Source organism: Homo sapiens, chromosome 6 (genome assembly GCF_000001405.40).
Source record: "Homo sapiens chromosome 6, GRCh38.p14 Primary Assembly".
NCBI lineage: Eukaryota > Metazoa > Chordata > Mammalia > Primates > Hominidae > Homo > Homo sapiens.
This window is the reverse complement of record NC_000006.12, coordinates 134,123,299-134,151,149: the sequence shown is the minus strand read 5'-3', so window position 1 is coordinate 134,151,149 and position 27,851 is coordinate 134,123,299. Positions and strand designations below refer to the sequence as shown.

The 27,851-nt window shown below is 40.7% G+C and overlaps 1 pseudogene; it reads right to left on the bottom strand.

Annotated features, from left to right (window-relative positions):
- Positions 17,282-17,577, bottom strand: RN7SL408P (RNA, 7SL, cytoplasmic 408, pseudogene; annotated as a pseudogene).

Below are 27,851 nucleotides of genomic sequence, written 5' to 3'. Positions count from 1 at the left end.
TTCAAAGTTCCACAAATCTCTAGGGCAGGGGCAAAATGCTGCCAGTCTCTTTGCTAAAACATAACAAGAGTCATCTTTACTCCAGTTCCCAACAAGTTCCTCATCTCCATCTGAGACCACGTCAGCCTGGATTTTATTGTCCATGTCACTGTCAGCATTTTGGCCAAAGTCATTCAACAAGTCTCTAGGAAGTTCCAAACTTTCCCACATTTTCCTGTCTTCTTCTGAGCCCTTTGAACTGTTCCAATCTCTGCCTGTTACCCAGTTCCAAAGTCACTTCCACATTTTCAGGTATCTTTTCAGCAATGTCCTACTCTACTGGTACCAATTTACTGTATTAGTCTGTTTTCACACTGCTGATAAGACATACAGGAGACTGGGAAGAAAAAGAGGTTTAATTGGACTTACAGTTCTACATGGCTGGGGAGGCCCCAGAATCATGGCAGGAGGTGAAAGGCACTTCTTACATGGTGGCAGCAAGAGAAAGTGAGGAAGAAGCTAAAGCGGAAATCCCTGCTAAACCCATCAGATCTTATGAAACTTATTCACTATCACGAGAACAGCACAAGAAAGACCAGCCCCCATGATTCAATTACCTCCCCCTAGGTCTACCCCACAGCGCAGTCTGGGAGATTCAATTCAAGTTGAGATTTGAATGGGGACACAGCCAAACCATATCACCTACCTAAAGTAGCTCCCTTATAAATCATTCTGTCTTTCCAACATGTTTATTTCTTTTATCACACTACACTCTGCAATTATTCACTTATTTATTATTTATCTCATCTTAGAATATCAGCTCCATGTGGGCAGAGTCCTTATTTATGTGTTCTCTCTCTAGCACCTATATGCCTAGCATATAGTAAGTGCTCAATGCATGTTTGTTGAATGCACAAATAACTAATTCACTTGTACAATACATTCCAGACATTTTATTTTATTTATTTTTTTGAGACAGAGTCTCCTTGTGTCACCCAGGCTGGAGTGTGGTGGCAGGATCTCAGCTCACTGCAACCTCTGCCTCCTGGATTCAAGCAATTCTTGTGTGTCAGCCTCCCAAGTAGCTGGGATTACAGGCACCAGCCACCACACCTGGCTAATTTTTGTATTTTAAGTAGAGACGAGGCTTCCCCATGTTGGCCAGGCTGGTCTTGAACTCCTGACCTCAAGTGATCCACCCACGTCAGCCTCCCAAAGTGCTGGGATTACAGGTGTGAGCCACCGCACCCGCCCAATTCCAGATATTTTAAAAATCATCTCTGCATTTGAAAGGAGAGATGCTAATACCTGGATCCATGTTAGCTGATCAGGTAGTCAAAACAAACAAGCAAACAAACAAAAAACATTGATCACCTGACATTAAACCTGACATTAAAACTTCAGACCAGGCCAGGTGCAGTGGCTCACACCTGTAATCCCAGCACCTTGAGAGGCCCAGGCAAGCGGATCACTTGAGGTCAGGAGTTCAAGACCAGCCTGGCCAACATGGTGAAATCCCATCTCTACTAAAAATATAAAAATTAGCGAGACATGGTGGCAGGTGCCTGTAGTCCCAGCTATTTGGGAGACTGAGGCAGGAGAATGGCTTGAACCTGGGAGATGGAGGTTGCAGTGAGCTGAGATCGCACCATTGTATTGCAGCCTGGGTGACAGAGCGAGACTTCGTCTCAATAAATAAATAAATAAATAAATAAAATTTAAAAAGAGCTATAACATGTATACAACAGAGTCAGAATTCAAAAAGATTTTTGAAAGAATGAAACCAGATGAAAACTGACAATAAAGTTTCAGATCAAAGTCCAAAGAGTCAACTTCACCACTATAGAATTGCAAAGATTGAGCTTAACAGCACATGCAAACATTATACCACTTAATTGATTGCAAACTCAATGTGAGTCAAGTGCAAATGTTTCCAAAAATCACATTTAAGAGCACATTTCCAAAAATGTGCTCTTAGGCTGACTAGTAGAAGTACTGTGTCCAGAAGAAAAACAGCTCCATCCTTTATTGATGAAGCAATGCCAGGAGAACAAGATTTAGTTTCTGGCAGGATCTTTGAAGAAAGCCATTCCAGTTAACATGAGTAGAATGAGAAAGGTATTGATCAATTTCCATAAGCAAAAACTATGGATGTCTAGCCTGAGAAAGAGGACTTTTGGGGTGAAATTTAGCTTGAGAGAGGAATGAAGAGGGTATACAGAAACAGAGCGTGGGGTAGCTGTTCATAAATATTTCATGTGAAAGAGGGATCTGCCTTATCCTGCTGTGTTATGTGGCAGGATGAAACTACAGCTGGGTCGAAATCAAAGCCATGCAGATCTTGAAGCAATTGGAGGAGGAAATCTGTAGCACTCCCAATGTCAAACAAAGGAGTGAGTTCTTGACAGGTGGAGTGAGCAGGTTATGGCTCTGTAATGACTCTTGGGGCCAGGTTATACTGGGAATTCCTGTATCAGGTAGGGGCCTGGGCAGGTAATCCCTACATTTTCTTTGAGTTCTAAATATTTTATGCTTTCAAAGGTCTCTCAGAGATCTGGGGAATAAAATAAAATTTGCAAGTGTATTTGGGAGTATATAAAAGTGCTTTACAGGCATAACCTACTATTTTTTTCTTTTGCTTTTGTCTTTTTTTTTTTTTTTTGACATGGGGTCTGGCTCTGTCCTCCAAGCTGCAGTGCAGTATCATAATCTTGGCTCACTGCAACTGCCACCTCCTGGGCTCAAGAGATCCTCCCTCAGCCTCCTGAGTAGCTGGGACTATAGGCGTGCACCACCATGTGTGGCTAATTTTTGTATTATTTTGGTAGGGATGGGGTTTGCCATGCCTTGAACTGGTCTTGAACTCCTGAGCTCAAGCAATTCACCTGCCTCGGCTTCTCAAAGTCCTGGGATTACAGGCGTGAGCCACTGCTCCCGGCCATAACCTATTATTTTCATCTACCATTAAAATGTTACTCCATATACTTTATCACTTAAACATGAGTTTTAGTTCTTTGAAATAGCTAAGAAAGATATCTAAAGTAGGATTATAATAAGAAAATGGAAAAACTTTTCAATTGATGTTTTTAAATAATCACAGTAAATGATGCCACATTCGTAGTTCACTTGCTTGGAGAGGCTACTTCCAGGGGAGACAAGGAGGCCAAACCCTGCTCTGTTGAAGATCTGACAAGAGTACTGTTCATTTCAGCAGCTGATGTTTCACAGCGGAATCCTCAGGAAAATTAGGACTGAGTTATTTGGGGAAAGCCTCATAACATCCATTTTAAACCAGAATGACAACAACTGCCAGACCAGCCTGGGACACATCCTGGAAATAGATATTCCCACAGCCTTCCTTACTCCAGTCCTCCAACCCCACCAAATTCACAAGTGGGAGGGTAGAGGGTCTCATTATACAGGAGAACTTTCCAGTAGTGTGAATTGTGGGTTAATAAACTCTGGAATGTGTTCTGGGGGATGGATGAAGATAAACTCCTTCCTTGGACGGGATCATTAAAATAAATAGGATAGATTCTCATTTGTCGGGGGTGATTTAAGGCAGGCATGGAGGGCTGGACCACTTAGCACCCAGGACGCTCCTACTACTCACACCCATATCAGGGTTGCTCAGGGAAAAGTTACCAAAACCAAGGATCACCCTGCTGTGGTCAAATAAATCACTGCCGACGCAAAGCAGCGTTGATGCTGACATGAGGCAGCTGCTAGACTCAGGTGGAGATCAAGCCCTCTGCATTTTATAGCAGGTGAGTACATGGCAAGTACATCACAGTCTTTCTGGAAGCAGTTCATGCCAGCCCTTGCACAATCCTAAAACTACAGACCAAATGTGCTAAGGTACAACCAAATTCTAGCTAGAAAAAACAAAATGAATTGGCTGGTAACTCTTAGCTGATGGGAACTGATGTGGTTTGTCTGTGTCCCCGCCCAGATCTCATCTTGAATTGTGGTTCCCATAATCCCCATGCGTTGAGGAGGGAGGGACCTTGTGTGCGGTAGCTGAATCATGGGGGTGGTTACCTCCAAGCTGTTCTCCTGATAGTGAGAAGGTTCTCCCAAGATCCGAAGGTTTTATAAGGAACTTTTCCCCGCTTTTACTCCGCACTTCTTCCTGCTGCCATGTGAAGAACAGCATGTTTGCTTCCCCTTCCGCCATGATTGTAGGTTTCCTGGGGCCTCCCCAGCCCTGCAGAACTGTGATTCAATTAGACCTCTTCCCTTTACAAATTTACAAATTACCCAGCCTTGGGTATGTGAAGAACAGCGTGTTTGCTTCCCCTTCCCCCATGATTGTAGGTTTCCTGGGGCCTCCCCAGCCCTGCAGAACTGTGATTCAATTAGACCTCTTCCTTTTACAAATTTACAAATTACCCAGTCTTGGGTATGTCCTTATAGCAGCGTGAGAATGGACTAATATAGGGCCCACTCTCCAAATCCAAATCTTCCAAATCCCAGTTTTCTAGGAGTGAACTCCCAGGAATCTAGGATAATCTCTTAGGGTCATGGAGGGGCAGGGCTACCAGATCCTGGACACAGCATTATCGTTTCCAGACCCCCTGAAGCGACTGGCCATTGTCCCTCAAGTTCAGTTTTTCTGAGGCCTATTGTGAATGGATTATGTCTGCTTCACACTGAAGGCCCCGGATTTTGGCTTCTTCCACTCTCTTTTCTCCCAGGGGCCCTTCAGGAAATCTGGCATCCTCAGTTGTCTGTAATTCTACTCTTTAACTTGCAACAGTCTTATTTTAAGGCATTCAATTAAATGGATATAAGTCTTGTGTTTTCTTTGACGTCAAACCTTTTAACTTTTTTATAGATATATGGACTATTATTTTATTTTGCTTTCCTCCATTTCCAAAAATAGGTAGAGGTTTGATTTTGAACTTTCTGTGGCTTAGAAATACAAATGTAAGCAGCATCTAAAATTGTGTTATCTCCATTACATTTGGCACGAATTTTGAGGTCACGTAACCAGTAAAAATGTTATTAGTTTAACTTTTTCAAAAGAAGCGTATTATTGGTCCATTATTCCGGTGAGTAATGCAGAGGCATTTTCTAAACTGTTTTTTTTTTTTTAATCCAAGAATGCTGAGTCAATATGGCATCAGTTTACATTTGTTGGTGCTATTATCGTTCCTATTTTACAGCTTGGAAAAGGGAAGATTAAATGTCCTAGAGATAAAGAGCAAATCATCTTCCAAGCCAGATGAGGCCATTGCTGTGGCTCTCAGCAGCTCTATATTACCAACAAGGGCATGCTTCCCCTTTTCCTGGCTACAAATGAACTCCTGCTATTGGTGCAGAACCTGCAGAATGTCAGCTGCTGGGCACGCCCTCTAAGCAAGAAAAGGTCTGAGCTTTAATCCTTCATCACTACAGATTTGCTCTAATTCTAAAATGCATACTCACACTGCTCTGCCTGTGGAGTAGCCATTCTCTATTCCTTTAGCTTCTTAATAAAAAAAAAATAAAATAAAATGTGTACTCACAGGGACAAGAAGCAGAGGGGAGGGAAAGCCTAATCTATTCACTTCCAAGAGTCATTTAACACAACCAGCCCTGAAGACAAAACATTTATTAGGTCTAGTGGCTCTGATTGTGACACCGGCAGCAACGAAAAAGAGCAAAGAAAGAAATTGTCACCTTTCAGGGAAAGCTTGTGGATAATCTACAGCATGTCTTACCACCCCCTGGACTAGGGTCCCTTCCCAGCGGGGCTAGACGTCGGCTGTTGGTGTATGGGTAAGAAATAAAGACAACTTTCATTCTTACTGTCTACGAAACACAGAGCTAGTAATCGGCTGGAGAAAAAGTAAACAAGCAAATAACATTTATTATCTCCCAGAGGAAAATATGTTGACATTCATCTCCAGCTCAGTGTTTTGGATTGAAGTACTTTGTTCTTTCCCCTTTATGATACAAATCAAAAATTAATTATGTGCTTAAAAGATGTATTGATAGATTGATTGATTGAGACTGGGTATCACTCTGTTACCCAGGCTAGAATGTAGCGGCACAATCATAGCTCACTGCAGCCTCGAACTCCCAGGCTCAAGTGATCCTTCCTTCTCAGCCTCCCAAGTAGTGGTACTACAGGTGTCACCATGCCCAGCTATTATTTCTTATTTTTGGTAAAGGTGGGGTTGCACCATGTTGCCCAGGCTGGTCTTGAACTCCTGGCCTCAAACAATCCTCCTGCCTCAGCCTCCCAAAGTGCTGGGATTACAAGCATGAGCCACCATGCCCGGCCTAGAAAATTTATATCTATAGCATAAAAATACTTTAATGTGATTTTTCACTACCAGTCTTTAATCATATAGATAACATGCAAACATATTTTTCTTATAGAAAATTAGGATCACAAGTAAAGCTAAATTCCCTTTGATCATATCTCTAATCTAGTTTCTTTTCCCTCAAAGTAACAAATGGTTATCAATTTTTTGTTAATGTTGGTTGCAGTGGCTCATGCTTGTAATCCCAGCATTTAGGGAGGCAGAGGCAGGAGGACTGCTTGAGTCCAGGAGTTTAAGAGCTGCCTGGACAATATAAGGAGACCTGATTCTCCACAAAAAGGAAAAACAAAAACAAAAAAAGTGTAATTTTTTGTTTATGCTTTCAGATATTTTTCTAAGCACTGCATCTATTTATGTAGAGTCAAAAAATACATAGTATTATTTCATGTAAATTTTCCACATAAATATTATTATAGCATGTATACCAATTTGCTTTTTACTTCACAATGTGACATGAAGCTTACTTTTTACAATTTCAGTATAGACAATCACATAGGTGTCTTAGTTTGTTTTGCACTGCTATAACAGAATACCACAGACGGGGTAATTTACAAAGAAAATTGATATATATCTTATAGTTCTAGCAGCTGGAAAGTCCAAGAGTATGCTAACGGCTTTCTGGTTATATTATAACATGATGGGAGGCATTGCACAGTAAGACAGAACATGTGTGTCAGCTCAGCTCCCTCTTCTTCTTTTCTTTTTTTTTTTTTTTTTTTTTTTTGAGACGGAGTCTCGCTCTGTCGCCCAGGCTGGAGTACAATGGTGCAATCTCAGCTCACTGCAACCTCCACCTCCCGATTCTCCTGCCTCAGTCAAGCGATTCTCCTGCCTCAGTCTCCCAAGTAGCTGGGATTACGGGTGCATGCCACCACACCTGACTAATTTTTGTATTTTAGTAGAGACGGGGTTTCGCCACATTGGCCAGACTGGTCTCAAATTCCTGACCTCAGGTGATCCACCAGCCTCAGCCTCCCAGAGTGCTGGGATTATAGGCATGAGCCACCACGCCTGGCCCCTCTTCCTCTTTTCATAAAGCCATCAGTCCCATCATGGGACCCCCACTCTGATGACCTTAACTAATCTAATCCTGATTACCTCCTAAAGGCCCTACCTCTAACCAACATATGAATATTGGAATCAAGTTTTCAATACTTGAAATTTGAGGGACCCATTCAACCATAGGGACCCATTCAAACCATAGCAGTAAGAAATATGTCACTGTGTTTTAGCTAAACACTGATTTATAGACATTTAAGCTGTTACATTTTTCTCTATTATAAACATTGCTGCAAAGGACATCGTTGTACACGGGTGTTCCTCTGTTTCTCTGAGGTGAAGGTTAGAGAGGGAACTGCTAAGTCGTAAGGTATGAATATTCAAAATGTTAATAGTAATAATAATGGTAGTTAATAGTTACTGAGGAAATACTACCTACTTGTGATTCTAAGTGCTTTACATTCACAAACTCTATCAGGAGAGTATTTTATCTTAGACCATTTTACAGATGAGAATACTGAGACACAGTGAGGGTGAGTACCTCACTCCGGGTCACATAACTAGCAACTGGCAGAGCCAGTATTTAGGCCCCAAGCAATTCTAAGACTCGGCTCTTTCTTATCCACAACACTACTGCCTATAGTCCTCATTCTCTTCTAACTGATTCATATTTGCTACTTACAAGGGGAAATCTACTTACTTGGGGGCTAATCAATCTTACAAAATTGTATGTGCGTTTTTAAAATTTTTAGTTTGAAAAGTTGTTTTCATACTAATGATTGATCATAGCCTGGCCTTAGCAGAACAATTCATATAGCTTGGCAAAAGAAGACAAATTGTTCTATTGTCACCCATGTGAAATAGAATGAGGTAAAAATATGAAAACTTCAAAAACTTTTCAGAGAAGGGAACCCAAGGCCAGTTGGGCTCTGAGCAAGTCTTTTCTCACTAGAGAGCTTGATCCCCAGTCTTTAAAACCAGGTACTTAATCTATAATATCTGCTCAAACCCATTTTTAATCAAGCTTTTCTGCTTATCCTCTGGGCAGTCCTTGGAAAACTGAAAGAGAGAAGAATCTTCTTTGTATGGCTGTTGTGTGCACCATTCTGATTTATTTTATTTAACATTTTTGAAACAATCTCAAACTTAAAGGAAAGTTGCAAGTCAGTACCAAAAATTTTTTTTCGGAATTACTTGAGAGCGAGTGACTGGCATGTTGGCCCATCTCCACCAAATACTTTAGTGTACATTTCCTACAAACAAACCAATTCTCCTTCATAACCATGATAGAACATCAAAATCAGAAAATTAATGCCAATACATTACTATCATCTAATCTTAAGACCTCAAGCAAGTTTTGCCATTTGTCCCTATGTCTTTTTTTTTTTTTTTGAGACGGTGTCTCACTCTGTCACCAGGCTTGAGTGCAGTGGCGCAATCTCGGCTCACTGCAACCTCTGCCTCCCGGGTTCAAGTGATTCTCCTGCTTCAGCCTCCTGAGTAGCTGGGACTACAAGCACGCACCACCACGCCCAGCTAATTTTTGTATTTTTAGTAGAGACTGGGTTTCACCATGTTGGCTAGGATGGTCTCTCGATCTCTTGACCTTGTGATCCACCCACCTCAGCCTCCCAAAGTGCTGGGATTACAGGTGTGAGCCACCGCACCTGGCCCCTGTCCCAACGTCTTTTACAGCAAAAGGATCTGGTTCAGAATCATGTCTTGCATTTAGTTGTTGGTGTCTTGAGTATCCTTCAATCTGGAACAATTCCTCAGACTTTTCTTGCCTTTCATGATCTTGATGTGTAAGATTTCAGGCCAAATTATTTTTTTATTTTTTGGCTTCCTTTTCTGTGGCGTGAGAGGCCAGTTGTTTTGTAAATATGTGTGAGTTTGATGCTTTTTCTTTTCTCTTTTTTTTTTTTTTTGAGACAGAGTCTCACTCTGTCTCCCAGGCTGGAGTGCAGTGGCGCGATCTCAGCTCACTGCAACCTCCGCCTCCTGGGTTCAAGCAATTCTCCTGCCTCAGCCTCCTGAGTAGCTGTGCGCCACCATGCCAGGCTAATTTTTGTATTTTTAGTAGAGATGGGGTTTCACCATGTTGGTTAGGCTTGTCTCAAACTCCTGACCTTGTGATCCGTCTGCCTCAACTTCTCAAAGTGCTGGGATTACAGGTGTGAGCCACTGGGCCCGGCCCAAGTCTGATGCTTTTTCTTAATTAAATTCAGATTATACCTCTTTGGCAGAAATATCATATAAATGATATTATATCTCATCATATTCTATTTGGTGACACACAATTTCAAATAGCTTCATTACTAATAATGTCATCTTTGCTCACTTATTAAGGTAGGTCTGCTAGGGTTCTCCACTATAAAGTTATTATTTTGTATTCCCTATAATTGATAAGTATTGGGGGTACAGAGTTTCAGATTATGTAAACGTCCCATTCCTCATCATACTTTCAATTTATTCTTTCCTCACTCCTTTATTTCAGTTTGTAATTATTGTTTTATTTTATTTAGTATGTTGTAGCCTTTCATTATCATTATTTATTCCTCTTTTTTTTTTTTTTTTTTTTTTTTGAGAGGGAGTCTGGCTCTGTCACCTAGGCTGGAGTGCAGTGGCGTGATCTCTGCTCACTGCAACCTCCACCTCCCGGGTTCCAGCGATTCTCCTGCCTCAGCCTCCTGAGTAGCTGAGGCTACAGGCATGCACCACCATGCCTGGCTAATTTTTTATATTTTTAATAGAGATGGGGTTTCACCATGTTGCCCAGGCAGGTCTCGAATGATCCACCCGCCTTGGCCTCGCAAAGTGCTGGGATTACAGGCTTGAGCCATCACGCCCGGCCATCATTATTTATTCTGATGATCACGTTGTCCCAAATTTGATATGTGTGAGTCCCTTCAATCTGATTTCTAGGTACTTTTGATAGGTCTCCATATTCTCTGAGCTTGCTTTGCCTTCTGGCAAAAAAAAAAAAAAAAAAAAAAAAAAAAAAAAAAAAAAAAAAAAGATATGTTGATCTAGACCTGGAAGCCACCATTTTTCCAAGGAGCGCTGGTTCCTTTTAGTGGAGAGTGGTATCTAGACACTAAGATTGAGTGCTAGGTGTGCTCATTCCTTCGCTGGGTCTTAGGATGTCAGTGCTCCCAGGATGACTGTCTCTCTTTCTCTCTCTCTCTTTCTCTCTCTCTCTCTCTATATATATATTCTGATACGGAGTCTCACTCTGTTGCCCAGGCTGGCGTGCAGTGGTGCATGGTCTCAGCTAATTGCTACCTCTGCCTCCCAGGTTCAAGCAATTCTCTTGCCTCAGCCTCTTGAGTAGCTGGGATTACAGGCATGTGCCACCACGCCTGGCTAATTTTTGTATTTTTAGTAGAGACGGGGTTTCACCATGTTGGTCAGACTGGTCTCTAACTCCTGACCTCGTGATCTGCCTGCCTCGGCCTCCCAAAGTGCTGGAATTACATGCGTGAGACACTGCGCCTGGCTCCTCTATATTTTATTTATCTATCTACATGAAAATTATGAATTTACACCGACATTTCTAATTCCAGTTGAATTCATTCTTGTTTTCTCCCAGTCCATAATTATAACTGCTTTTCCAGCAGTGAGAAACCTGCTCTTTTTATCGCTCCCAAATTTATTCATTTGCCAACTCCCTGGATGTAACCTAGGTCCTGTTGCTCCTGCTGTCCCCGTCCCAGGACACCTTCTAATCTCACACAGGCCCTAACACACACACCAAGTGGCCACTTGCTCATAGGGACACCCTGCACACATGGTCACACCCTGGGCACATAGGCTCTGACACCCTGCTGTGCATCCCTCCCCCAACCTGTGTAGACACCTGCCTTTTTTAACCTCACCTGATAGCTTTAGACCAAATTATTGGTCTAAATAATTGGACCAATTTGACCAAACAGAGAAGAGAAGGAGGAAGAGGAAGGGTGAGTGTGTCATGTTAAGAATAACTTGGTTTGTCTATTTTGATTTTTGGTTATTCTTTCTCTTTAAATTTTTTTTTTGGTTATATGAAAAAAGCTGCATTTATTGATTGATTGATTGATTATTTTTTGAGACAGAGCTTTGCTCTGTCACCCAGGCTGGAGTGTCATGGCATGAACTTGGCTCACTGCAACCTCCACACCCTGATGTAGCTGGGATTACAGGCATGTGCCACCACGCCAGGCTAATTTTTGTATTCTTAGTAGAGACAGGGTTTCACCATGTTGGCCAGGCTGGTCTCGAACTACTGATCTCAGGTCGTCCACCCGCCTCGGCCTCCCAAACTGTTGGCATTACAGGCATGAGCCACTGAACCCAGCCAAAAAGCTGCATTTAAATTAGCCACAGCAGCAAATGATCTCTGATAGTTTGAATTAATTCGGTTACATAAATTAATTCTTACATTTTTTGGAGTCATGGATATTTTTTATTTTTGAGATGGAGTTTCGCTCTTCTTGCCCAGGCTGGAGCACAGTGGCACAATCTCAGCTCACTGCAACTTCCACCTCCCAGGTTCAAGTGATTCTCCTGCCTCAGCCTCCCAAGTAGCTGGGATTACAGGTGCCTGCCACCATGCCTGGTTAATTTTTGTATTTTTAGTAGAGATGGAGTTTCGCCATGTTGGCCAGGCTGGTCTCGAACTCCTGATCTCACTGCCCGCCTTGGCCTCCCAAAGTTTTGGGATTACAGGCATGAGCCAATGTGCCCAGCCCAATCTTTTAAAATAGTAATAATAATAACAGTCCCAGGCAGTCCAAACAATCAGAATTCAGTCTATTTTTATCACTGTGGGTTTTCAGAACCTTGCTTCCTAATGTCTTATCCTAAACACTTTAGTTTTCCCATGGCAGTAACTTAATCTCCTTTCACCCTGCTTGGTTCCCAGCATTTCCAGGCTTCATTCCGGTCCAAGTATTTATACATGCCACCCCAGCTTGTTTTCCAGAACTCTGCCTTTGTGTCCCACTGCATAAATACTCTTGTGAAGCCATGAATCTCAGAACGTACAGTTGGAATGGTTTATGGAGTGTCTGAGAAATTTAGGTCACTCAATTCCATGATTCACTAGGGAAAGTCAGTAATTCACAGTTTATAAGCTAGAAAGAGTCTATGACATACTGGTTGCCTTTTTTCTCCTCACAGAGAGTCTGTTTTATTAGCTCAAAAAATATATGCCCATGATCCCTGGTACAAAGACATCTGGTCTCTCTGGAGTGTTGCCTGCATCACGGAGAAGAGCTGTGGCCTGGCAGTTCCCCATTCCCAGCATAATGTCCTTGTTATCTTTCAATGCAAAAAAAAAAAAAAAAAAAAAAAAAAGGAAAAGAAAAGAAAAAGAAAACCTTCCAGAAAACCAAAAAGAACAAAAATTCCAATCAAGAGCATCATATGAACTGAGTCTATGCCAAAACTGAGAAAACAAATTGGAATTGTTACTCTAAGTCACCAGTAACTGAATGTTCAGCTTGAGAGGATGTGGCAATCAGTTCAGTCAGGGCTGCTCATCACTGTGATCTCTCAGGTTTGTAAGTCTAATAGCCAGTTGCAGATGCAAAAATGGAATTAGATTTTTTTTTTTTTTGAGACTGAGTCTTGCTCTATTGCCCAGGCTGAGGTGCAGTGGCATGATCTCGGCTCACTGCAACTTCTGCCTCCTGGGTTCAAGCCATTCTTCTGCCTCAGCCTCCTGAGTAGCTGGGATTACAGGCGTCTGCCATGATTACCAGCTAATTTTTGTATTTTTACTAGAGATGAGGTTTCACCATGTTGGCCAGGATAGTCTTGAACTCCTGGCCTCAAGTGATCTGCCTGCCTTGGCCTCCCAAAGTGCTGGGATTACAGGTGTGAGCCACCATGCCCGGCTTTTTTTTTTTTTGAGAGACGGAATCTCACTTTGTCACCCAAGCTGGAGTGCAGTGGGGTTATCTTGGCTGGAATTAACATTTTTCTTCCATTATGGAGATATTTCTTTCTGCTGGAAAACACTAAGTGGGGCAGAATCCCGTATATTTTCAAAGAACTTGCTGATAAATTTTCTTCAAATGCGAAGTGCTTAGAGGAAGAATGATTCCAATGAAAATAACTGGAGCATACACAAGCTGTGGAAGTGTGGCATCTGAGCACAGCAAAGGCGTGCAGCTGTTTGCTGAATTTGCTCTACAAGGCCAGTAGATAGCTCTAGGCAAGGATAAATGTGGGTGCTCTGTGTTGTTCAGTAGAATTGCAAAGCACTGGGTAAGAGAAGACCTTTCAGAGAATGTACTTTGGAAACATTTACTTTGATCAACAATTACTCTATGAAGGGATGAGAAAGAGTGTATTAGTTCATTTTCACGCTGCTGATAAAGACATACTCGAGACTGGGCATGTATTAAAAAAAAAGAGGTTTGCATAAATGTCTTCTTTTGAGAAGTGTCTATTCATATCCTTCGTCCACTTTTTGATGGGGTTGTTTATTTTTTTTCTTGTAAATTTGTTTGAGTTCTTTGTAGATTCTGGATATTAGCCCTTTGTCAGATAGGCAGATTGCAAAAATTTTCTCCCATTCTGTAGGTTGCGTGTTCACTCTGATAGTAGTTTCTTTTGCTGTGCAGAAGCTCTTTAGATTAATTAGATCCCATTTGTTGATTTTGGCTTTTGTTGCTATTGCTTTTGGTGTTTTAGACATGAAGTCCTTGCCCATGCAACAGACACATGAAAAAATGCTCATCATCATTGACCAGCAGAGAAATGCAAATCAAAACCACAATAAGATATCATCTCATAGCAGTTAGAACGGCGATCATTAAAAAGTTAGGAAACAACAGGTGCTGGAGAGGATGTGGAGAAATAGGAACAGTTTTACACTGTTGGTGGGACTGTAAACTAGTTCAACCATTGTGGAAGACAGTGTGGCGATTCCTCAGGGATCTAGAACTAGAAATACCATTTGACCCAGCCATCCCATTACTGGGTATATACCCAAAGGAATATAAATCATGCTGCTATAAAGACACATGCACACGTATGTTTATTGCGGCACTATTCACAATAGCAAAGACTTGGAACCAACCCAAATGTCCAATAATGATAGACTGAATTAAGAAAATGTGGCACATATACACCATGGAATACTATGCAGCCATAAAAAATGATGAGTTCATGTCCTTTATAGGGACATGGATGAAGCTGGAAACCATCATTCTCAGCAAACTATCTCAAGGACAAAAAAACCAAACACTGCATGTTCTCACTCATAGGTGGGAATTGAACAATGAGAACACTTGGACACAGGAAGGGAAATGTCACACACCGGGGCCTGCTGTGGAGTGGGGGGAGGGGGGAGGGATAGCATTAGGAGATATACCTAATGTAAATGACGAGTTAATGGGTGCAGCACACCAACATGGCACATGTATAGATATGTAATAAACCTGCACGTTGTGCACATGTACCCTAGAACTTAAAGTATAATAAAAACTATATATATATAAAACAAATTACAGCCATTGGCATATAGAATATACACATCAAATAACAAAAAAAGTGTAACTTAGGCAGGATATTTTAAAAAATTGTTTTTAACAGTGGAATTCACCACGCATGAATAAAGACCAAAATATTAAATTTAAATCAAAAAACAAATCATAATAAAAAGTATATTTTTGTTTCACATAATGAGTTGATTAAACAAGAATACATTTGAAATTAAAAAAAAAAAAGGTTTAATGGACTCACGGTTCCACATGGCTGGGGAGGCCTCACGATCATGGCAGAAAGTGAAAGACACATCTTATACTGGCAGCAGGCAAGAGAGAGAATGAGAACCAAGTGAAAGAGGTCTCCCCTTATAAAACCATCAGATTTCGTGAGACTTGTTCACTACCAGGAGAACAGGATGGGGGAAACTGCCCCCATGGTTCAGCTATCTCCCACTGGCTTCCTTCCACAACATGTGGGAATTATGGGAGCTACAATTCAGGATGAGATTTGGGTGGGGACACAGCCAAACCATATCAAAGAGTGTCCCTTTCCATGTTTTGGGGAGCAAGAAGGAGAAATGCGAAGAAGGGAGCACTGATCAGGTCAGGGCTGGATGAAGGAAATGTCACCCTGGGGTGAGAAAAGTGCCTGGCCCTCAGGGATGTTGAGGGTAATTTTGTGCCACCAAGTGAGAACAGTCACAGGGTCTTTGAGCTAAGATTACTTTTTAAATTGGCTTCTTCACCTCAAAGGGAATTCCATTAAATTCAATTCTTCCAGTGCTTCCTGATGTGAGATATGAGTTCTAAATTTTTCTTCAAAGAATCAATATGTCAGTATGTTCAATTCTTTGCCTTCTACTTTTAAACTTAACTTCCTCATAAAGCAACCTTTTTCGATTACCTGCCCCACCCTGACTCATTCTGATTACCTACTCCACCCTGACTCATTCCAATTACCTGCTCTGTCATAACCATTTTTCCCACCAAATCATTCACCCTGTCACTCTCTTTAAATTAGTCAATCGGAATTAGTTTAGCCTGTGCGGTCTAACCCTAGCCAATAGGGGAACGACACAGCAGCAGGGACCACTTGCGTCAGGGATAAGAACCCCTTCCCCTCCCTTGTCGAGGTGTGCGCTCACTATTGCTCCATCTGTAAAGGCGCACCCTTCTACAGAAGTACGTTGCCTTGCTGAGAATTAAAATGAAAATTTTATATTTGAGCGCTATTTAGTTTGTGGCACCGAAACTTTATTTATAACACTGAGTATCTGCTCCCCTTGGGAGACCCTAAAAGACTATTTACTGTTTCCATGGCTTCCTTCTGTAACAGGCCAGTGCATTTTCATGATCCCCCCTCTACTTGCAGCTTCTGAGGACTTTTCTTCAATCCCTTTGACAAGTTTTTAGTATTACTGCAGTAGCAAAGTAGACAGCTAATTTCCCACGAGATTATTTAACTGTTCTAAGAGGATTTCACTCCTTGCATTTTGATGAGACCACATAATTCGTGTAAATCCTCTTAGATTTCCCTTTTAGGCCATTGCTGTTGTACTACCAGCCAGGACAGGAGGCAGCCTCTATGTGCAGGAGATAAACAGCAAGAGATTGAAGTCGGAATGTCTGCCAAGATGGCTCCTGAAATGGCATTTGCCTCCTTCTGTAAACAGTGCTAGGTATTTTGTACATAGTAAGTCCACGGCAATGATTTTCAGTTTATTTATTGAAGAATACTGTCTTTAAATTGGACCAAAGGTAAAATTGAGAACTTGCTGATAAATTTTCTTCAAATTTATCCACAATTAAATACAGGTGTGGTGAAGGAGATCATTAAAGCCAGTCTCCTGATTTCATGTGTACAAGGCTGTTCGTCAAAACCTAAACATTTATAGAACCCTTGCATCTTGCCTTGAGACACAATGATGTAGCTCTGGCATATCATAAATATTCTTTAACGTTCTTTTCATTGATTAATGAAGTCAATGAATATCTCATCAAAACTAAGGATTCAAGTAAACAGTTTTTGGCAAGACCAAAATAATTCTCTGTTCCAAATGTGTTATTTACAAGACCTATCCTTTTTTGTTTATAAATGGATCTCCTGACTTACACATTTTCATTTTCTGATGAATTTATAAAATAATAAGGTCAGATGTGATAAAATATTTCAGAAATTTAATCCACTCTGCTGCACACACAGATTGCAAGGAGTCTAATCCTACCAACTGGCTGGCAGGAAGTGACCCAGTGCAAGAGCTCAAAATGTTTGTTGCTCAGCTGAGTCTACCACAGTCTAAAATCAGCATTAGTATGCCTGGACTGGGGAGGAGTTGGATGTTGCCTTTCTACAAAAAGGTGTCGGCATAGTATCCCAGCTGGGACAAGGGGAAGAAAACAAATGTTTATTGCCTGTTATATACTAGGCATTGTTATAGTGTTAAGACATTTCAACTCACAAAAACCTTGAAGGATATGCTTTCTATTTATTTTTATTTATTTATTTTTTTTAGTGATGGGATTGCTTTGTTGCCCAGGCTGGAGTGCAGTGGCTATTCACAGGCCCAATCTCACTACTGATCAGCACGGGAATTTTGACCTGCTCCATTTCTGACCTGGGCCGGTTCACCCCTCCTTAGGCAAGCTGGTGGTCCCTTGCTCCCAGGAGGTCACCAAATTGATGCTGACCTTAGTGCAGACACTGATTGGCATAGCGCACTACAGCCCAGACCTCCTTGTCTCAAGCGATCCTCCCACCTCAGCCTCCTGAGTATCTGGGACTACAGGCTTGCACCACCACACCCAGCTGTTTCCTCTATTTTATAGATGAGAAAATGTAGGCTAAGGTAAGTTAAGTAACTTGCCCAAGGTCGCAAAACTAATAAATACATGACTTATCCAGGATTGAAACCCAGAAATATTTAGGTTTAGAAATTGTGCTCCTCCCAAGCAGAAACAAAGTACTCCAAAGCAACCCCTCTTTCCTCCTTAAATAACACTCCTATTATAGAATGTGTTGCTAAAGTGATTATTATTATTTGGACAGTTACACTGAGCAACTTGGGATAGACCTGTTTCTCTGAGGCTCTACATATTAAAAAAAAATCTCTGGCAGCTCTAAGACAGAATATAAGCTATGCAGAAGCATTATATAAAAGATTAGCCATCTAGGTCTTTCTAATACCTTTTTGACTGAGTTCATTGGTATCAAATCTGATCTCCTTTAATAAATCGCCAGACACTACAACATGAAGTATATCTAAAAGAGAAAAATGAAGGCAAGAGATGAGGTATTCGATAAAAAAGGCAATTTTTAGAAACCTGTAAATTAAGAAACACAAACCAACCGAGCTATTTCCCTTAAGCAGTTGTTTAGTCTTGTGATAGCAGTTGGCTGATGAATGACCTTAGTAATGTTTTTAAAGAATCAGAAATGTGCTGAGCTAGCTTTACAGGTGAACTAGATATGGTCAAACATGGTTCTAATTCTTAGCTGACTCAGGGAGATTCTACATTGGACCAGTTGTTATAAATGAGATCACTTTATATTATCACTTAGTGCAAATCTTCATACTGCAAGCTCCCTAGCTTTTTCTTGGAGTTCTCCTCTCCAAACATTTTTGAAGAATTCCCAGGTCTTGTGTGTATCTGTGAGTCAAGCCAGGAATTCTTTGCCTCCTGCTGTGAAATGGACAATTACAATTTCCTATTAAGGCCAGACTCCTTAAAGCAGATGCAAGTTGTGGGAAATTTCCTATTGTCCTCAGCATTTTTTTTTTTTTTTTTTTTTTTTTTTGCTAGGCGTGGTGGCTCAGGCCTGAAATCCTGGCTACTCAGGAAGCTGAGGTAGGAGGATCACTTATACCCAGGAGTTTGAGGCTACAGTGAGCTCTAATTGCACCACTGCTCTTGGGCAAGTCTGTCTCTTAAAAAATTTTTGTTTTCGGCCGGGCGCGGTGGCTCACGCCTGTAATCCCAGCACTTTGGGAGGCCGAGGCGGGCGGATCACGAGGTCAGGAGATCGAGACCATCCCGGCTAAAACGGTGAAACCCCGTCTCTACTAAAAATACAAAAAATTAGCCGGGCGTAGTGGCGGGCGCCTGTAGTCCCAGCTACTTGGGAGGCTGAGGCAGGAGAATGGCATGAACCCGGGAGGCGGAGCTTGCAGTGAGCCGAGATCCCGCCACTGCACTCCAGCCTGGGCGACAGAGCGAGACTCCGTCTCAAAAAAAAAAAAAAAAAAAAAAAAATTTTTGTTTTCAACTTACTGTAAATTGCGCGAGTCACACATACAAACACACACACACACATACATACTTACATGTTTCTCTCAATCTAGATCTAGAGGGACCTATTGGTAGAGAGATAGATAGGAATGTATGTATGTATGAATGTGTAAAACCACAACAAAAATCAAGATATGTAATGTTTCAGTGCCTTTGAAGCCTCGCTGGGTTCCTCCCACTCTCTGTGAGCCTGAGTTTAGGTCACCTAGACTGGATCTGCCCCACACACTTGCCGCCTCCTACCTAATGTCCTTATTTGTATTGTTCTGCATAGGGCACTCATGATTTCCAACTTGGTCAATGAAAATCAGTATTTGTTGTGTCAGACAGCTCCTCCTTTCTTCATTCTTCTTTTTCACTGTATCAGCAATAATTGTCATTATAGTTTTAAGCAAATTTACAAAAGAAATGTTATTCAATTTAGAGTGTTTAAAATATTATTTGAATTCTACACAACTTCTGACAAAGGGAGTCCTGTAGAAACAGGATACATGTGTTCTGACCTTTGATGTGATCATGATGGGTGCCTTGTGATGAGAATTGCACTGTGAACTGAGTACAGATTGCTCTTGCGGAGGATGGAGGTGTCTCAGGCCAGGGGCTGATGGCTCAGGCCCTGTCTCAGGATGGGACCATGGGTGAGTTACCAGAGCTTAGAGCTAGGCTCTCAGTCTCATGGGCTCCTTTTCCAAATTCAAGTAACTACCTTAGGTTGAAACATTTTTGGTTAATTAGACTGATGTTCTGTCAAGCTACTGGCATCTCTCTATTTTTGAAACTATAACTGTATTAGTCCATTCTCTCACTGCTATAAAAAACCACCTGAAATTGGGTAATTTATAAAGAAAAGAGGTTTAATTGAGTTACAATTCCACAGGCTGTACAGGAGGCATGGCTGGGGAGGCCTCAGGAAACTTACAATTATGACAGAAGGGTGAAGGGGAAGCAAGCATGTCTTCACATGGCGGCAGGAGAGAGAGAGCGAAGGGGGAAGTGCCACACACTTTGAAACAACCGGATCTCATGAGAACTCACTCACTATCACAAAAACAGCAAGGAGGAAATCCATCTCCACAATCCAATCACTTCCCACCAGACCCCTCCCCCAGCAGGGGGAATTACAATTCAACGTGAGATTTGGGTGGGGACACAGAGCCAAACCATATCGATAACCTTTAGTTTTTTTGGTTGGAATTTGGTTAATTTAGCCATTCATGACATAGTATTGCTTCAGATAAGGATTTCTCCAACTCTGCACTGTGAACATTTGGGGCTGGATGATTGTTATAGGAGGTATCTTGTGCATTTTGGGATGTTTGGCAGCATCTCTGGCCTCTATCCATTAGACGCCAGTAACTTCTCCAACTGTGACAACCAGAAATGTCTCCAAACTTGCCAAATATTCCTTGGGAGACAAAATTCCCTCCAGCTTGAGATCACCGCTTTACATGGCTAGCTTTGACCAGTTCTCCATCCATCCAGTTTCATTTTGGACAGTCTATATCTTTTAGTCTGAGAGGCAGAAATGAGGGCTGTCCTCTTATGCTCTGTGAACTGGTCTCTCATTATTTGCCACTTGAATTCAAGGTGGAAAAGAACATTAAGTGACCACCACCAACAAAAACATAGATCTTTTAAGTGTTTGTATCTGGATCTGTGATATATACCCAGATATCACAGATCCTTTGTCCATTTTGTGTTGCCATAATTACCTGAGGCTGGACAATTTATAAGGAAAAGAGGTTTAATTGGCCCAAAGAAGCATGGCACCAGCATCTGCCTCTGGTGTGGGTCTCAAGTTGCTTCCACTCATGGTGGAAGGTGAAGGGGAGCTGGCACGTGCAGAGATCACATGGGGAGACAGGAAGCAAGACAGGGAGGAGGTGCCAGGCTCTTTTTAACACCCAACCCTCTTGGGAACTAATAGAGCAAGAACTCACTCACCTCTTCCCACAGAGGAAGCATTAATCTGTTCATGAAGGAGCCACCCCCCAGCAATTTGGGAGGCCGAGGTGGGTGGATCATGAGGTCAGGAGATTGAGACCATCCTGGCTAACACGGTGAAACCCCATCTCTACTAAAAAATACAAAAAATTAGCTGGGCGTGGTGGCGAGAGCCTGTAGTCCCAGCTGATCGGGAGGCTGAGGCAGGAGAATTACTTGAACCCGGGAGGCAGAGCTTGCAGTAAGCCAAGATCGCACCGCTGCACTCCAGCCTGGGCGACAGAGTGAGACTCTGTCTCAAAAAAAATAAATAAATAAAATAAAAATAAAATGGAGGAGCCACCCTCATGACCCAAATGCCTCCCATTAGGACCCACTTCAAACACTGGGGATCACATTTCAAAATGAGGTTTAGAGGGGACAAATAGCCAAAGTCTAGCAACCTTATAAATGAAAAACAATAATAAATAATTATATGTGATTTCCTTTAAACACACACACACACACACTGCTTTGACAAAAAGTAAATCAACCAAATATTTCTTAAATTGAGAGTGATTTCCAAATGACAAATATAACTAGTAGTGACAGTAATCCTTGTTTAGCTTCTTATACTTTCAACACTCAACAAAGTGATACTGTTTTTTGAGGTCACTTTGACTTTAAACTTTGTAACAAACTGAACTAAAATTTATGTGTAAGTTTTCATCTGCTCCTAAAAATACAGCACTTAGACATTTCTGTTGGATTTTGAGTCCTCATAGAACAAGTAAAAGAAGCATCAAGACCACTGCATGGTAGGAAGAACCAATTTTACAGACAAGTTACCTCCTCTGCATAATTTGAGCTGGCAGATGAGCCATCTCTACCCTAATAGTTTTCCTCTAGCTGCCTAAAATTAAATCTTTCCTGCTTTGTTCCTGTAGGTTAACCAGAGAACTCTTTTAAAATATAAATACTACTTAGAGAAATAAAAATGTAAGAGATAAGGTCAGGTGCAGCGGCTCATGCCTGTAATCCCAGCACTTTGGGAGGCCGACGCAGGCAGATCACTTGAGGCCAGGAGTTCGAGACCAGCCTGGCCAACATTGCAAAACCCCGTCTTTACTAAAAATACAGAAATTAGTCGGGTGTGGTGGCACACGCCTGTAGTCTCAGCTACTCAAGAGGCCAAGGCAGGAGAAGTGCTTGAACCTGGGAGGCGGAGGTTGCAGTGAGCTGAGATGGCACCACTGCACTCCAGTCTGGGTGGCAGAGTGAGACTCTGTCTTAAAAAAAAAAAAAAAAAAGACATTGAAGATCCATCTCCCTTTTGGTTTTGGTAAACATGGTTTATAAGCAAGCATTCTCTTTGACAAACTTGGAATAGTTTTACTTCAGTGCATCTAGCTTTGTGTTTTATTGGATTTACCTTTGTATCGTAATATATTTTTACATTGATTCTTCAAGCCCAAGGTGCTAAAAAAAGCAAAAACAAAAAATATGTTTGAATTGGTCTCTGAGGAAACTATTTGCAATGATAGATAGAGCCCATTTCTCATATCAGAGTTCAGAAGCCTAATTTTCTGTCCCCATATGTATATGGAGATTCCATCATCTGAAATACATAGTTTCAAAAATATTTACATAATGAAATTTAATATCTAGGTTGTTTTGTGTTATGTGTGGACATTTTTACAGCTTTATAAAGATATATCTCACATACCATAAAACTCCATAAAACTCATGGTTTTAAAGTGTATAATTCAAAGGTTTTCAATGTATTCACAGAGGCATGAATATATTGATGCCAGTATCACCATAATCTAATTTTAGAAAATGTTTATCACTGCAAAAAGGAACCTTGTACTCGAGAGCAGTCACTCCTCATCCCCACCCCCACAGCCTCTGACAACCACTAATCTAATTTTTGTCTTCATGGATTTACTTATTCTGGGCATCTCCAATAAATGAAATTATGCAATATGTGGGCTTCTTTTACTTAATATGTTTTCAAGGTTCATCCATGTTGTATAATACATCAGTACTTCATTCCTTTATGGCAAAATAATATTCCATTGTGGAATATGGTATGAAAGCACATTTTTTTTTTTTTTTTTTTGAGACGAGGTTCTCTGTTGCCCAGGCTGGAGTGCAGTGGTGTGATCTTGGCTCATCTCAGCATCTATCTCCTGGGTTCAAGTGATTCTCCTGCCTCAGCCTCCCGAGTACCTGGGATTACAGGCCTGCACTACCACACCCAGCTAATTTTTGTATTTTTAGTAGAGATGGGGTTTCACCATGTTGGTCAGGCTGGTCTTGAACTCCTGACCTCAGGTGATCCACTCACTTCGGCCTCCCAAAATGCTGGGATTACAGGCATGAGCCACCACGCCTGGCCAGCTGTGAATTTTTAATAGATTTATGTGTCTGCTTTAAATTAAAATAAGAATAATCAATTAATTTTAAAGTTTTAATTGTATTAAATGATCTCACCAGCAATTACTTTAAACTATTAGCTTATTTCGAACCTTTCCAATGCACTTTTACTGGGGCATGCAGATGTTTTGGAATGTAAGAAGGCTCATACGAAGCATTTGAAAAAAGCTGTCAATTATATTTATTGTAAAGTAGTACTGCTTTAAGTCTCTTGAAGGAATCTCAAGAAGATTCTTATTCACATTGAAATAATAAATATACATTCTACAGCTTACTCAAACTCCCCCTATCTTAAAGACTGAAAAACTAAGGAAATATGTAGAATTTGCAAAATAACTGTCTTCCATTTATAGTGATCACAGATAATATAATAATATCTTAGCAAATTTTATGACAACATATAAATGAGTTTTAAAAACCTTGACAGTCAATAAGATGAAGGTCATTTATAAATATGGAAGGTAGACCCTCTATAATTTGATGAAGAGGTTCTAAAAATCTCTCTTCTCTTACGTATATTTCACATTGACTTTCCTAAAATGGTCACCATTCATCTTTTCTTTAAAACAATGTACCAAGGTCTGGCACAGTGGCTCACACCTATAATGCCAGTATTTTAGGAGGCCGAGGTAGGAAGATCACTTTACTTAAAGCCAGAAATTCAATCAAGACTAGGCTGGGCAACACAGGGAGATCCTGTCTCGACAAAATAAATACATAAATTAAAAAAATAATGTATTAAAGATTCCTGGTAAAAGTAAACAATTTATCTGTGAGATATAATATGCAACACTATTATCATAATTTATAGGGAATTAATTTATCATATTAGGTAATCACCTGAAGAACTGGCTCAAAGAATGGGTAAACTTTGATGAGGTTTAGAAGATTGGAGAGTTTAGAAAGTCATAGTGAAGAATCTGGGATAAGCAGATGTCAACAAGAGAATCCTTAGCAACGCAGAGGGAGTAGAGGGGAAGCAAGGGAAGACAGATGGAGGAGCCGTGCTGTACCCACATTTGACCCGATCTAGTTTCAAGAATGCAGTCAGTCTCTTTAGAAACTAAATGAAAACCCACATTCAGTACTTTCTTTTTAATTATTTATTTTTAAGTATATAAGCACTAAATGAATATATTTTCATTATAAAAAGTCAAGCAGTTCAGATGAATTTAAAATTATTCTTAATGATGATCCCTAATCCTAATCTCTCATCAGAGATGGTTACTACTAGCTTGGCATTTATCATTTAGGGTGCATCACATTTATGTTTATATTTCTATCATCTGTAGTATATTATGTTTATCTATAGTTATATGTATATGTAGTTTTTGTTTGTTTTGTTTTGAGACAGTTGCACTCTGTCACCCAGGCTGGAGTGCAGTGGCAGGATCTCGGCTCCTCCCGGGTTCAAGCAATTCTCCTGCCTCAGTCTCCCTGGTAGCTGATATTACAGGCACCTGCCACCATGCCCAGCTGATTTTTTTTTTTATTTTGTATTTTTAGTAGAGGCAGGGTTTCACCATGTTGGCCAGACTGGTCTCGAACTCCTGACCTCAGGTGGATCACCTTAGCCTTCCAAAGTGCTGGAATTACAGGCATGAGCCACCGTGCCAGGCCAAGTACTACATTTTAAAATTGCACTCTATAATGTTATGAAATTTTTACTACCACCAATAGTGTATGAGAAAGTCCCTTTACAAGTATACTTTCTAACAATTAATATTATCAAATTTTGAATTTTTTTTAATATTATGGGTGACACAGGCATGGTATTTTATTTCATTTCATAGAACTTTTCATAAAAATTTATGTTTGGTATCACTCTGATAAGCGGCAAGGTTGAGCATCTTTTATATGTTTGTTCAGCATTTATACCACCTCTTCTGTGAATTGTCTATTCTTATTCTCGTTTTTCTCTTATTTATGGATTATGAGTTCTTTGCTGATTTTGATATTAATCCATTGCCATGCATGGTCGTTCACACCTGTAATCTCAGCACTTTGGGAGGCCAAGGTGGGAGTCCAGGAGTTCGAGACAAGCCTAAGCAACATAACAAGACCCTATGTCTACAAAAATTAGCCAGATATGGTGGCACACACCTGTTGTCCCAGCTACTCCAGAGGCTGAGGTTAGGAGGATCACTTGAGCCTTGGAGTTCAAGGCTGCAGTAAATCATAATTGCACCGCTGCACTGCAGCCTGGGTGACAGAGGGAGACCCTGTCTCTAAATAAATAAATAAATAACATTGATTGTTATATATGTTACAAATATTTCCTCCCAGTCTTCTAGTTGTCTTTTAAACTTATTTGCAATGATGTTATGTAAAAGTTCAGAAATTTGATAAAATGGCATTTATTCACCATTTTTTAAGGCGTTAGCATTTTTATAATGTTTTAGAAGGTCTACTCTTAAGTATATTCTCCTTTTTGTTTTCTTTTAATAGGTTTGTTAAGTCTTTTGATTCGTTTGGAATTTTTGTAAATGCTGTGAAATATAGATCTATTTTTTTCAACACGGATTGGCAAATATCTGCTTTTAGAAAATTTATTTAGTTTCCTTTTGCTTAATTTTCCTTAAAGGAGAGGAAGGACTTTTTCCTCCGAATATCAGATCAATTAATCTTGAGGAAGTGCTGAGCCTGGCCTGGCTGGATCACATGTCCACCTGGGTGGCCAGGACAGCACAATTCCATGATTGGCAGCTGCCCCAAAGCTCATAGAATCAGTGTATGGGAGAAGTCCTCAAAATAAGGAACAATACTGTTCCCAAAGTCAGATAGGAAAAAACACTGAGTGGGGCTGGGCACAATGGAACATGCCTGTAATCTCAGAACTTTAGGAGGCCAAGACAGGAGGCTCAGTTGAGGCCAGGAGTTCAAGACCAGCCTTGGCAAACATACCAAGACCCCATCTGTACAAGAAAAAAAAAAAAGTCGGTCAGATAAAAATAATAAATGTTCACCATAGCCCTAAACAATCTCTTTTATCTTCTTGATAGCTTTCTTTCTGATCTTTTTGTTTGCTTCCATATAGATGAAGATAGTAATAATTTTAATAGGTAGCACTTACAGAGCACTTCTCTGTGCTGGGTTGTGCTCGCTGTTTTGCAGGAGTTCTTTTTAAAGATATGCCTTTGATGAAAAAAACTTCATCAAGCATTTTGAATACAGTTTAGATGTGAGAGAGAAGCTTGGGTTTTAAATTTTTTAAGTTCAAACATCCATTTTTCTAGTTAAAAAGAATGTACCAATCTAATACGCATGAGAGATGCTAATCAGAAAACGTGAAGGGCACAAGCCCACTCTTTGAGATTTTCACTGAAGAAAGTGAACATGTTAAAAAAATTCACTTTATTATTAATTTGCAAAACATATTATTAGTGATAAGCAAACGTTGGCACCCAGGTTAAAAGTTTAGCAAAATGATGTTTACAAAAACTGTGTAATGAAACAGAAAAAAGCTTAATGACAACATGCTGAAATTGTTAAAATTCTGAAGTTTGAATTCTGATTCTGTCACCTTGAAGCTGTGAGACTTTTGACTAAGTTACTTCATGTTCCCCGGTTTGCTCAACAGTAAAATAGGGGTGATAACAGTTCCTACCTCACAGGGGTGCTATAGGAATCTCAAGTGAGATAATGCACATGAAGCGCTTAGCCCTGCATCCAGCACGTTGTCAGCCATTGCTATTACAACCACCTTCATCATCTGTGAGTACAGCAAGCAAAACACTGCTTGGAAAAAAAATCAGAAGGAAATGAACCCATTGGAGACTGGCCAAAGAAGTACTCCTAAAAGCATAGCAAAAGGAATTCCAGAAGTTTACAATAACACAAGGAAGAAATTTACAGTTTGAAAATATAAATATCAGTTTAATAGTTAAGCTAAGTTTTAAATGTAATGCCTTATTTATTAAAGCCTTAAATTTAAGCCTGAAAGTTAGCGACATCTGCTGGAAGAAAGGTGAATTATTCAACTCACGTACCAAGCACCTGTCCTAATTCATTCAATTCAATACTTTATTGAGCAGGAATTTGGTATCAAATGCTTTCCTAGATTCTGTGGACAAAGTGATTAATTCCCATGCTCAAGGAATTTAGTCTTTCAGCTCAGGTATAAGCCACCTGTGCTTAAGAAGAAAAAAAGTGGACATTATCACCATGGATCTTTCAATTCTGTTAAAAAAATTAGATCTGTCGGCTGGGTACAGTGGCTAACACCTGTAATCCCAGCACTTTGGGAGGCTAAGGTGGGTGGATCACGAGGTCAGGAGTTCGAGACCAGCCTGGCCAACATGGTGAAACCCCATTTCTACTAAAAATACAAATATTAGCCAGGCATGGTGGCAGGCTCCTGTAATCCCAGCTGCTCGGGAGGCTGAGGCAGGAGAATCACTTGAAACTGGAAAGTGGAGGTTGCAGTAATCTG